This window comes from Homo sapiens, chromosome 5 (assembly GCF_000001405.40).
Source record: "Homo sapiens chromosome 5, GRCh38.p14 Primary Assembly".
Taxonomy (NCBI): domain Eukaryota; kingdom Metazoa; phylum Chordata; class Mammalia; order Primates; family Hominidae; genus Homo; species Homo sapiens.
In genome coordinates this window covers 133,384,719-133,397,718 of record NC_000005.10, presented here as the reverse complement: position 1 = coordinate 133,397,718, position 13,000 = coordinate 133,384,719, and the positions used below count along the sequence as shown (strand labels likewise).

The 13,000-nt window shown below is 49.0% G+C and overlaps 1 protein-coding gene and 1 long non-coding RNA gene across 4 annotated transcripts in view; one reads left to right on the top strand and one right to left on the bottom strand.

Moving 5' to 3' along the window:
* FSTL4 (follistatin like 4) overlaps window positions 1-13,000 on the top strand; it is a 645,613-nt gene that overhangs the window by 444,349 nt on the left and 188,264 nt on the right. The gene's annotated exons all lie outside the window — the stretch shown is intronic.
* On the bottom strand, window positions 1,643-9,837 carry CTB-3M24.3 (uncharacterized). The gene is made up of 3 exons (XR_948794.4): window positions 9,749-9,837; window positions 9,140-9,246; window positions 1,643-2,454 (listed from the first exon to the last, which is right to left on the bottom strand). It is a non-coding gene; the product is annotated as an uncharacterized CTB-3M24.3 (long non-coding RNA).

The following is a 13,000-nucleotide window of genomic DNA, read 5'->3' as shown; positions in this document are numbered from 1 at the left end:
TGATGGGTTGTGCTGGGCTAAGCTGCTACAGTTCAGAGCTCCCGTCTGTGGCCAGAGGCCCTGATTTCCTGTCAGGGAGGGGGTTCTCCTGAGGACTGGTGGGGGGACACATAGCCTTCACCACCCTGCAAGGGAGAAGAGGCAGCATTCTAAACCCATTTACAAGAAAACTTCTGGTATCACATTCCAGTTGCTATGGCAATGGGATTCCTTGTGAATATAAAATGAAATATATCATTTAGGGATCATTAGCATGTACGGGAAATCAACCAGACTCAAAAGGATTGCTGCAGCTAGAGTTTACAGCTTTGATCCCAGATCTCCTGAGTCACAAGCAGGGTCTCACTGAAAGTCTGGGACAAAAGGAGGTGTGGGAAAGATGTATCTCTTCTTGTAGCAAAATTAGAGTCACATTTTTCCTCAGCACCAAATCCTACCAAGAGAATGCCAAGATATTGGGTGGATTTCACTGTTTAACTTCTTATAGAGTTTGTGTTTTCAAAGTTATCTTGTGACATCGCATTCCTATTTGTGTATTAGTTGGCACTTTTAAACTCATTTTTCTTGGTTTTGAATTCACGCTTTATCTCCTACGCTGTTCACGAAGATGAGCTTCCCTTTCAGCAATCACTCACCAAGCCAGCGTTGTATTATACCAGATGATACAATGTCATAGTTGGGCAGTTTTCCAAACAAACCATGAAATTATGGAAGAAAGGGGACTGTTAGAGGTTCTGTTTTAAGGGGCCCCTTCAGCTTCCTCAGCCTGCGGGCGGTTGCAGGTGGATTTGGGTGCTTCAGAGGGGAGTTCCCAACCTAATGAAAGACAGGAAATCATTTCCATTTTTGGAAACAAATTAAACATACTACAGGCTCACTAAGAAATCTTTTTTTCTTACTTGTTACTAAGCAGACATAAAAACTCAGTATTTTGTTGCAAGTTAGCAGAGCAAATAGAGCTTCCTGCCAAAGAGCCATTTTTTTCTTCTTCTTCTTGTTATTTTGTTGCTGTTGTTGTTACTCTGAGTCTTGTTACTTTAGGAATTTAAATTGGGCCCCACACCTCCAGGGGCATTTCTATACTTCCACAAGTATTCTCTGTCCTGCCAGGGAAAGCTTCTTACATCCCCAGCTTTGTCAGCCCAGTCCAGCTCTCAGCGGGAGACTCACTTCCTGGGATGTGTGAGATCCAGCTGCAGGGCTGTGATGCTGTCAGGCATTGATAGGGGATTTAGTGTAACTCTGCTGGAGCAGTCCCTATAGCAAGAGGTGCTGGGGCCTGTGGAAGCATCAGGGAGGCCCAGGCTGATGGGACAATGTGGCACGTGCTCAAGGGCACTGCTTTGGCACGTGAGCTTTCTGTGCCTCATTTACTTCATCTGTAAAATGGGGATAATACCAGCACTTACCTCATAGAGTGTTGTGAGTATGACAGGAGCAGCACCTGGCATGCAGTGAGCATTCTTCTCTACGCAGTGTCAACAGCACTAGGGATGATGCTGGTGCCGTTGTAACATCACGGCTTATTCAAGGAGCAGATGCAACAAGCTGTAAGACCCTTGCCCATTTATGTGACAACTCTGTAATGAGCTAAGAGGTCAGGGGTGGTGGGTCCTCCTGTGAATGAGGGGAGAGAAGAACATTGGCCCTCCATATTTATTTAATGAATGACTAGAATTTGACCTCCAGTTGATCAAAGTTAATGATCACCTTCTCTGTCTTGCTAAGAGATGTAAGGAGCCACCCAAGTTCATCTAGCAGGTTAGTAGAAAAGCAAGGGGAGAATCAGGTATCTCTGATCCCCAGTCTGGACAAAGCTCCTAGAATGTACCTCCGGGCTCTCAGGAAATGCCAGTGGAGCCTGGGGTAAGAATTCATCTGCCTGAAGATGAGAACGTTTAGAGAAGGTGCTGGAGGAGAGGGGACCTTCAAGGTGGATTTTGAAGAGCAAGGGAAGGTTTGCTAGGTTGAGAGTGTGGGGAAGGCTTTCTAGGAGTACAGGCATGAAGTACCTCCAGTCTCCGGGAAGAGCAAGTGATTATGGGATCCTGGGTGTAGGGGAGAGCATAGTTGGGGATAAAGGCAGACAAGTGGATCACAGCAAGCTGGGGAAAGGCCTTGTGTGCCAAGCAGGGAAGTCTGAACTCAAGCTGACCAGTGTTGTGTCCAGAATTGGTGGGTTCTTGGTCTCTCTGACTTCGAGAATGAAGCCGCGGACCCGCGCGGTGAGTGTTACAAGTTCTTAAAGATGGTGTGTCCGGAGTTTGTTCCTTCTGATGTTTGGACGTGTTCAGAGTTTCTTCCTTCTGGTGGGTTCGTGGTCTCGCTGGCTTCAGGAGTGAAGCTGCGGACCTTCGCGGTGAGTGTTACAGCTCTTAAGGCGGCGCGTCTGGAGTTGTTCATTCCTCCCGCTGGGTTCGTTGTCTCGCAGGCCTCAGAAGTGAAGCTGCAGACCTAAGGCAGTGCGGACCCAAAGAGTGAGCAGCAGCAATATTTATTGCAAAGAGCGAAAGAACAAAGCTTCCACGGGGTGGAAGGGGACCCAGGTTGCCACTGCTGGCTGGGGCAGCCTGCTTTTATTCCTTTATCTGGCCCCACCCACGTCCTGCTGATTGGTCCATTTTACAGAGAGCTGATTGGTCTGTTTTACAGAGCGCTGATTGGTCCATTTTGACAGGGTGCTGATTGGTGTGTTTACAATCCCTGAGCTAGACAGAAAAGTTCTCCAAGTCCCCACTAGATTAGCTAGACACAGAGCACTGATTGGTGCATTTACAAACTTTGAGCTAGACACAGGGTGCTGATTGGTGTATTTACAAACCTTGAGCTAGATACAGAGTGCTGATTGGTGTATCTACAATCCCTTAGCTAGACATAAAAGTTCTCCAAGTCCCTACTAGACTCAGGAGCCCAGCTGGCTTCACCTAGTGGATCCCTCACCGGGCTGCAGGTGGAGCTGCCTGCCAGTCCCGCGCAGTGCACCCGCACTCCTCAGCCCTTGGGCGGTCAATGGGACCTGGTGCCACGGAGCAGGTGGCGGCGCTCGTTGGGGAGGCTCGGGCCACGCAGGAGCCCACAGTGGTGGGGAGGCTCAGGCATGGCGGGCTGCAGGTCCTAAGCCCTGCCCTGCGGGGAGGCAGCTGAGGCCCGGCGAGAATTCGAGAACAGCCCGGTGGGCCGGCACTGCTGGGGGACCTGGCGCACCCTCCGCAGCTGCTGGCCCGGGTGCTAAGCCCCTCGCTGTCCGGGGCCAGTGGTGCCAGCTGGCCGCTGTGAGTGCAGGGCCCACCAAGCCCATGCCCACCTGGAACTCAGGCTGGCCCACGAGCGTCACACGCAGCCCCAGTTCCCGCCGGTGCCTCTCCCTCCACACCTCCCCGCAAGCAGAGGGAGCTGGCTCCAGCCTCGGCCAGCCCAGAGAGGGGTTCCCACAGTGCAGCGGCGGGCTGAAGGGCTCCTCAAGCATGGCCAGAGTGGGCGCCAAGGCTGAGGAGGCGCCAAGAGTGAGCAAGGGCTACCAGCATGCTGTCACCTCTCAGTGTCAGATAAGCTACTGCAACATTCTCATTTCCCAAAGAGGGACCGTGAAGCCCAGAGAGGGCTAGTACCTGTCCCAAGTCACACAGGCAGAGCCAAGCCAGGGCCCAGCCTTTGCTGCTGTGGCAGGCCCTTCAAAGGCACCCATAGCTTTGTGGCTGTTTTTAGTTAGGGCTCAGCAAGGCATGTCCCTAACAGATGCAATTGCTTTATGCTTCTTCCCCAGGAGACCTCCTGGTGCAGAAGGAAGGCTCAGGAGCCATGGGCAGTGGAAAGGGCCTCGTGTGCCACTGCTGGGCGGGGCTTCCCTGCTCCGCAGGTCATTAAGAAGCCAGCTGCACCTTCTCCAGGGAAAGCTGGCTCAATCATCCCAAACTCACAGAGCTTCTGGACATCAGGAAACTAGACCCTTGTCTCCTTTCTAAGGAAAGAGTAGGAAACTGAGGGATACCCAGAAGGTTACCAGGGGAACCTGGGGTCAAAAGCAGGCAGAGCCTCTGGGGACAAGCCTACCTTCAGCCTGGTCTGGCCTTGGAAGCTGGCCTCCACTTTCTCTCCAGACTCCCTTTCCTGTCCCTCCAGTTGCCCTTCCACTTTTGGGCCTACCCACATTTCTGTCCAGTAGCCGCTGTTGTTCTTTCAGTCTTTGCAAAGGGATCTCTCTGTCCCCAGCCCTCTTCCTGGCCTTCACTTTAAGCTCCACAGAAGAGGGTTTGGCTGTTTTCTGCCAAGCCACTCACCTTCACAGACATCTGTTGAATGCCCACTTGGTGCTAAGGCTGTGCCAGGACCTGAGGATACCAGTATGATCAGAACACCGGGCCTGACCTCAAGGAATTTATAGCCAAAAGAAACGCCACACATCTCCACCCTCTGGGTTATCCTTTGGGAGCTGCTTTAGCCAGAGATGCCTCCAAGACCTCAAGGACAAACGGGAATCTTTACGGACTGTCTCTCATGTTGGATACCCTCTCCTCACTCCTCCGCGGATTCTGTCAGCATCTGTGAAAACAACTAGGACTTCACTGAACTGACAGTTCACTCATAGCCCCGTAGTCCAGCATCCCTGGGAGCTCAGTTGTCCCATTTACAGTATCTGCTTCCAGGATCAAGAAAAGTGACCTAAAACAAATATGTGTGTTCTTTGGATATTTCCTCCAGGTTTTATGCAAGGAACTGTCTTGGTGTGAGCACCCCGCAAATGTGCAAGAATATTATCAGTTCGGCATGTGTGGTGTGCTCCACAGAACTGCTGTACTTTGAATGAATTAATTACATTCCAGTAATTAAAAATTGCTAAGAAGTTACTGAGCTGAGTAAGTCTCGTGGTGCATTGATTTCACTTATGGAAACAAGCTACAGCCTCCGAGTCCCCCACATTGTTTCCTGCTGTTTTCTGGCATCCTGTCCTTCTTTCTCCAACCCCTCCTTTGCTGTGCACTCCTCAGTCCCGTTGGTTGCTGGCGGCCTAGTCTCTCTCATCCTAAAGCCCAGAGGAGCAAGCTGTTGTCCCAGCATCCTCCTAGGTAGCCTTTCATCTCTTCCCTGTCAGGCCGCAGAGCATTTTCTGCACTGGCTGTCTCCACTTCTGCAACTTCCCTGAATTCTGCCCTCTAGGGTCTGCACCTAGCTCCTGTCCTGTTACCCCTGCCACTGACTTTGCTAAGATCACCTTACCCTTCTAAATGCCAAGAAGGCACTTTCCAGGCCTGGTCTTGCTGCATGCATCCTTCCTGCAGTGAGCTCTGTCATCCTCTCTGCAACCCTGTTCCACTGTCTTCTAGGGACCAGCCCCCATCCCTCTGACTCTCCGTAGATCCCTCCTTCTCTTGCAGCTGCTTCCAGGTATTTCCCCTGGGGCTCTCTTCTCACAGTTCCAGCCATGCCTCAAAGACCCAGACTGTCCCACGAGCAAAGACCCAACCATATCTTCATCCCTGACCTCTCCTCACGTTTCAGTCTACCTCTCATTCCACCTGGGATGGTCCATCCCACCATCATCTCCTGGCTGGATGACCTCTATGGCCTCCTAGCTATTCTCTGAGCCCCGGGTCAGATGCTTCTTCAAATCCACTTTCCATATGGCATTTAGAGTAAGCTTTCCAAGATGGAACTTTGACCATGGTGCTGTCCTGCTCGAACCCTTCTGTCCAGTTGTTCAGCAATATTCATGTACTATGCATCAGATACTATTTGGAGATGTGGGGACACAGCAGGGAACAAAACAGAGCCCAGTCCCCATGGCAGGTACAGTCTTGTGGGAGAAACAAACAGTAAACAAGAGATGAAGTCTATGTGATGGTGACAAGTGCCATGGAGCAGAATAAAGCCAGGAGGGCAGTTAGCCAGAGCCTCTGATATGAGAAGTGACATTTGGGCAAAGGTCTGCAGCAGGCCGGGGGGTTAGGGAGTGAGGCATTTGAATATCTGGGGGAAGAGTATCCCAGGCAGTGGCAATACAAAGTTTGCAAAGATCCTAAGGTAGGAGCTTGCCTAGCGTGTTTGGGGGCTCACAAGGGGGCCAGAGTTGCTGGACCAGGGTAAGTAAGCAGAGAGAAACTGAGCAAGTCGGAGGGCTGATGGGGTTGATCTCCCCATAGGGCTCTGTCGGCCATTGGAAGCCCAAGTTCTTTGCCACTTGGCTATATTGCCCTTCTCATTACTCCGTGAGGCCCACCCAAAAGTGGCCTTGATGAGGGGAGGGAGTGACATGGAGCCTCCTCCCCAGGCTTCTCCGCAGGAGGCTGTTTGAGGAAGGCCCTGTGTGGACAGGAGGGGTGCCGGTGGCTCAGGTGCTCAGATCCATGTGAGTGGACCCTATGCCCAACACTCGAGAGGTTTCAGATGATCACCAGGAGCCAGATGTTTAATTACTGGAGCAAGAAGAAGTTGATTTGGGACTCCTTTAAGGTTCTCCCCTATCGTGCCTTCAATTAAGATCAAGGCCCCCGTGTAGCAGCCGCTAAATGACACCATGTATTGAATCTCTGTGCTCAAGCAGTTTGTCTAATTATCTGTGTGATAGACTCAGCAGCTGTCAGACCAGCCACAACTCAAATACGTGGTCTCTGTACGCCTGCCTCAAAGTGTTTTATGCCCACTAGCAAGCTCAAGGACAGGACTTTCATGCTCTTTTCTAGATATGGGATCCCTTTCAGGTTCCTCTGCTGCCTAGTGATATAAGGCATTGAAGGGGCCAGTGGCTGGGAGGACAGTGGGTACAAGAATTGAGCAGAGGCCTGGGGGCTCGGCTGTTCCCTCCCTCGCCCCAGCCCTTGTGCCTCGCATGATCACTCAGCCTCTCTGCCTGCTTTTCTGGACAGGGAAGCAGTGACCCAGTTTGGGCCATCTTCTCCAAAGAGAGGGAGGAGCACTTGCCACTGTGTCAAGTTAACTGAAATAAATGAGGGGGATCAGGAGGCAGTGACCCAGGGGAGAGTAAATGACTGCTCATCTCCATCAGCAGAGAGTGTCTTCAGGAGTAAACACTTCCCAGCAGAGCAGGCTCATTGGATGAAGGAGGAACAAGACCACACCAAACAACTGAATGTAAGGTCTGTGGAGTTGAGTCCTCAGCCAGGAGAACTGAGGGACAGAACTACAGAAAGCTGGGGCCCAGCCCTGTACAGCATCCTGGGTCTCCGGGAACCACCCATGCTTCCTGATTGTAGGTGAGCTTGTGCCCAGTCCTGCACCTGGGTGCCTCATGAGGGCCAGATCCAGAACACATGTATTCTCCAGGCTAATGAGGGAAGACAGAGCTTAACAGTGACTACTGAGTTTGGACATCTCCTAGAGAGTTCTTCCCTCTGCTTTTCTTCTTGTTGTGCTCATTTCTGCTTTGATGCATTTTGATCACTTGTTAATGAAAGTAATCAGAGTGAAAACTACTTTCAAAAAGCTCCTCTAAAGGAAAGTAGCAAAATCACTTTGCTTGCAGGTAATTAAAATAGCCAGATGCAGTGAACTCCGTCCACTTATTATAAGCAGGGTGATCTCAGTTGTGCACTTCTCTTTGTAGCTGGAAAAAAGGGCTCATCCAGGGACTTAGCAGCCATGTCTCTTTTCTTGTCTTCCTTAGGGAACTTGTGCTTTCTCTTCCACTGCTTGTGTTCAGTGCACTCCATGCCCCCTTCAGTTGGCTAAGGTATGCCCAAAGGCCTGGTCTACAGTGGTCCAGCAAATGCCTCTTTGAGCCTTTGCCTCCCTCACTCATTCGGCCTGGCTAGCTCTCTGACTTTTCCTCCAATACACCTGTACATCTCTGTCTCTTTCTGCCTTCCTCCACCCCATCTTTGTCTCTGTTTCTCAGATGCTCATCCAGTGATCCATATTTCCATCAAAATATAATAAACCCAAGGTATTTTTATAGGGATTTTCAGAGATCTTTACTTATATCCAGTCAGGTGGAGCTTGTACAGACCCAGGTCTGCATGAGTCCTCATAGCTGAGACTTTAGTCTTTTCCCCGTGCAAGCTTGTCCAATGATTTGGGGAACCCGAGATTAGAGACATCAGAGGATATGAAGGGCAGAACCTTTCTGGATAGGTGGGTGATGGACAGGAAAGCAGGGGCGAGGAAGATGTCTCTTATAAAGCTACAAAAGAAGAAATACCCTAGACAAAGGAGGAGGTTTCAGAAGGGGACACCAGGGTAGGGGCAGGGGTGTCAGAAAGGGTCAGTGACACATCATCCTAATTCCGCAGAGAGTGAGCTTGCTTGTTCTCCTTCCCACCCACCTGCAGAACTCCAGATTTTCAAGGGCGTCTCTCAACTGTTTAGCCATGAATGCTGGTTACAGGGAAGTTAAGACCCCTCTCCAGATGCAATATGTCGTGGCAGTGACCATGGATTTAGCTGTAATTCCAGTCTGGTCAATCTCACTGGGCTGCAGTGAGAGTAAACAGAGGTGAAGCCTGAACAGACCTGTCTGAACACGAATGAAAGGGAAGCTGGCTTCTGCAACAGAGGAGGAGGAGAGCACACACTTAAGATGCAGCAAAAGAGCATGCTTTGGGGAAAAATTATTACAAGAAACAGAAGCTCATTTTAGACAGCAACTGTGTTCTACTCCCAATGCAAGAAAACATGAACTCTGAAATGAGATAAAAAATGGGATTGTAAATTGGCTGAGCCACAGTCAAAAATAAAATGGAAGCTGGGGGAGGTAAGGAAAGAATATAAAGAACCTGAAATACAATTGCAGAAGTTCCTTCTCCACTTCAAGCAGTCAAAGGAAAGATTAACCATACAGAAATCATAGTTGTTCCAATACAGGGAACAAACTTGAAAACCGCTCCCCAAATACACCGAGAATGAGAAGAAGATTTAAAAAATACTGTGGGAGAGGATGATAGTTATGTAAGACAGAGATAAAAGATTTAAAATAATAGTGATTGGTTATCTTAAAGACCTCAGAGCAATTCAAATGGACACAATAAGCAAAGAGAGATCCAAAAAAATAAGTGCCCTATACTGAAAGATCTATCAAATAAGTCAAAATATAATTGCTGACATTTTAGGTTTTGAAAAAAAAAATTAAAGTGATCTGAAATATCCAGAGAGAGAAAAACAAAGCAGACAAAAAAAAAAAAAGTCCTACCTGGTGTTGCACTGGGGGCTCTTGAGTGGTTTCAGCTGACCGGCTTGCCCAGGGGCAGCTTCTCCCCTTCAGTTACATTTGTGTCAAAGGTGAGTCTCAGACACTGTCTGGTAGGAAGGAAAAAAAACATTCTGTTCTTGGACTTTTCTGCGATATTAAGAAGCAAGAAGGCAATGAAGAACATTGGTAGAATTTTGGGGTGGTAAGACCATGATGCAAGAATTCTACACTTATCAAATGGTGATCCATGTATGGAAAGAATAAAAAGTATTTTCTGCTGGGCAAGGGTTCAAATAATACACCATCCGTGTACTCTTGGCTGGGAAAAAAAGTGAAAGATGAACCCTTCACATTCTACAGAGAAATCAGAGAATCTGACAAAGAGGAACTCAAGGCTTAGGTGAGCACAGAGGCTCTTGAAATGAGAAGGTGTCTAAATAACTTTTTCAAATATAGTTACCAAAAATTGCAAAGGGTAAATGATGAGGTTAAGTGCGCTTAATTTTCTTGACTGACTTATTGGAATTTCAACAGATCCTGCATAATCCTTGACTCGGTATGTTAAAAAGCATACATGAGGGCAATATTCCATCAGAGCCCAGAACAAACCTCATGCAGCCCCAGACAAGTGTCCATGGCTGTTCCCAGGTGATCTGGGAGACTTCACCTCCTGCCTTCACTGGTGTATCCAGAGACCATGGGAAGGATCAGCCACTGACTGACGTGTTCGACCTACGGTCGGGCCTCCCCGTGCCTTCATCTCGGTGGCTAGAGTGTGCTCCCCAGAAAGCATGCAGGGCTACAACTGAAGTGGAAGAAAACCGCAGCGGGTCATAGTGTGTCTTCCTTGTGTGATGAAGCCTTTGTTCATGGGCGTGTGTCAGTATGCCAGTGACATGGTCAGGACAATTGGGAAGGCCTGAACTATTGGTTCTAATGTTGCAGTCAATACAATGTGATTAACCAATTAGAGAGAAATGCATAAGAGCCAAATTCTGTTGCCAAGAAAAGGCAAAGAAGGTAGAAGAGCTGCCCTGTTAAGAGATAGAGGTAGAAGTTCAACCCCCAAGGCAATAAAGGGCCACCATGGGACACAGCCTTGCAGAAAAGAAGGAATGGCCATCAGGGTGGGGTGGATAGGATCATGGGAAATACACATTCTCATTCACGGAGAATGTGCCAGGCTGCCAGCCCACCGCCAGGGGCTGTATGGACGTCATCTCATGCACTCCTTTTCCTAGTTGGTGTTTACTGAGAGGCAAAGAGAAGCCAGATAACTTTCCCAGTTACTGGACTTGTAAATGACGGCACCAGTACTGGCACCTGCCCATCCCCTTTCAGTGTGTGTCAGTGGCCACTCCCATGATTAGGAGAGATATTTGTCAGGGAGTGGGGCTTGACCTGAACCTGGAAGAGTGGGTGGGTGGGACATGAACAACCAGGTACAGGGCAGGGGCAGCAGCAGAGGGAAAGACTTCATGCAGCTTTGCTGATGTTATGGCTGCATTCCTTCCTCCTCCACCAGACTTGGCACTTGCAACTGATCAGACAGCAGGTACCTAAAAACTCTCACTCCCCTAAAGGGAAATGAGGAGAAGTTAGAGTTACCGCAGACATCAAATATTGTATATCCAGTTGTTTTAATGAAATGAATCACATTTACACCCATCTTGTCTTTGAACTTCAGTGGCTGTCTCCACGTGGCTATGTGACGTGACAACCCCAGTGAGCACATTACAAAGGAAGAAAGTCCCCGCCAATGCCACGTGAAACACAGGGTGAGGGCTTCGTTGCACAGGAAGAAAAACGTCCATATTTCTCGGTCACACCTTTCTGTCTCTCCACTTCTGCCTGGGTTCCTTCTCGCCAGTGTCCCCACCTCTGCCCCCTGCCAAATTTCAGTGACATGAAGATCTCGTTTATGTGCCAGGCTTGTCTCAATAAACATTCTCCTAGCAATTTTAAAGGAACAAACTTTCCATATTAAAAACTTTTGTGGTTCTCAGGGTAAACAACTGTGGGTATCAGGAAGACCTGAAGAAATGGGGAATCTATACAAAAGGAAGGCAAAGTCCACTGCTGAGAAATGTGGTTTCTCTCTGTAAAACATGCTGACAGAAGCCCATATACTAATTTAGAGAAACAGTTGGCACAAAACAAGATGCACAGTTGAGCGTGCCTGTCTAGAAGGCTGGGAAGGAAAGAACTTGAGTGAAGGCACCACCAGGATTCCTGTGGCTATAGCCCCACGGAGACTCTGCTGGCTGTGATTATAATCATCAAGCTTTGCAGCAAATGATTGTGATTTTACACATCCTACCCTTTTTAAAAAACCAGAGATTGGATGAGAATGGAGGGCAGGGTAACAACTAACTCAAAGAGCCCATGTGACATGCCAGGTCCAAGGCTGAGCATTCTGTGCACTTTCTGTTCTTTAATTCTGTGACAGCCCTTCAGGGTAAGGACTGTTATTACCCCTAACTTGGCAGGTGAGGAAACTGAGGCTCACAGAGGTTTAATGACTTGCCCAACACCACTCAACCGGTGAGGAGGAGAGCTGCAATAAAGACTGATTTGAAATGTTAAATGTTGTCTTTGCTCTGTCTGCTCTGCCACATCTCTTACATGTATAATTTAAAAAAAAAACACACACACATAGTGATTATCATTCAGCAACTGGGCAGATTGTGCCTGCACTCTCACTTGTGTTCTGAAGGCAACTTTCTGCACGTGTAGCTGACATGTGCCCGTGTTGTTAGCCACTCTTGACTCGACAAAGAAATTGTGATGGTTTTTGAAAATCTTTGTTTCTTTGTTGTTTTTGTTCCTTCTACTATGCCACACTGTCTATGTATATAATGATTCCTGTAATTAAAAAAGGAAGGAGGCCTTGCAGTGAGCACCTGCGCAGTCTCTCCCTTTTTCAAAATTAGCAAAAAGCCGGGGACTATGTATGGCTCACCTCAGAGGAGCCAGTGGACAGGGTGGGCTCAGGACCGAGCTGCTAACTAGATTTGCTGCCAGTGGACTCAGCCTCTGTGCAGCCCATGTTGGGTTCTAGGGGGACCAGGAGCCTGTGGGGCAGCCCGAGATGGCAGTCTTGGAAAAGGAATTCAGGGTGGGTGTGATCAGGGATAGAGCTTCTCTAGTGTACATCACACAGGAACCCATGAGTGGTACCGGCATGTGCTCTAAACCTCATCCTGCCTGTTTGTTCACACTCCTGAGGATAGTAAAGTAGTGGTCCCTGTTTTCAACACTGCACCGATCAAGTTTCATTCTTGTGTTTCACGATTTCATAGAAAGATCTGTGATTCTTGCATCTGGGCCATTCATACCTTGGCAGGATTCTGCAATTCCGCATTTCATTGCTTCAACAAACAGTGCTGAGTGCCTGCTGTGTACCAGGCCTAGTCGAGGGCCCGGTGGCGGGGGTCCAAGAGGAGTGTGAGAGGGCCCTGCCCATGGGGAGCTGAGAGGGGACACACACCCCCTGCCTATTGTAAACCAGGGTGGGGAGCGCGACAACGGAGCACGTCCAGTCTGTTATGGAAGGAACAGGGAGGCCTCCAAAAGGGGGTGCCATCTGGACTGAGTACTAAATGATGAGAAATGGGTTAGAGAAAGAGGAGGGGAGTCTTCTAGGCCAAGGGTTAGGATATGAAGCCAGCATGGGGAGCCACAAGCCAATTGGTGTTTCTCCAAATATAGAGTTTAGGGCAGAGAGAAAGCAGCAAGGGCAAGCCTGGAAAGGAGCTTTGGCCAAGCTGGGGCCAGACCTGGACCATCAGGTTAAGGAGTGTGGACTTTCTCCTGGATGCAAGGGGAGGCAGCATTCTAGGGTTTTAAACCATAGGCCTG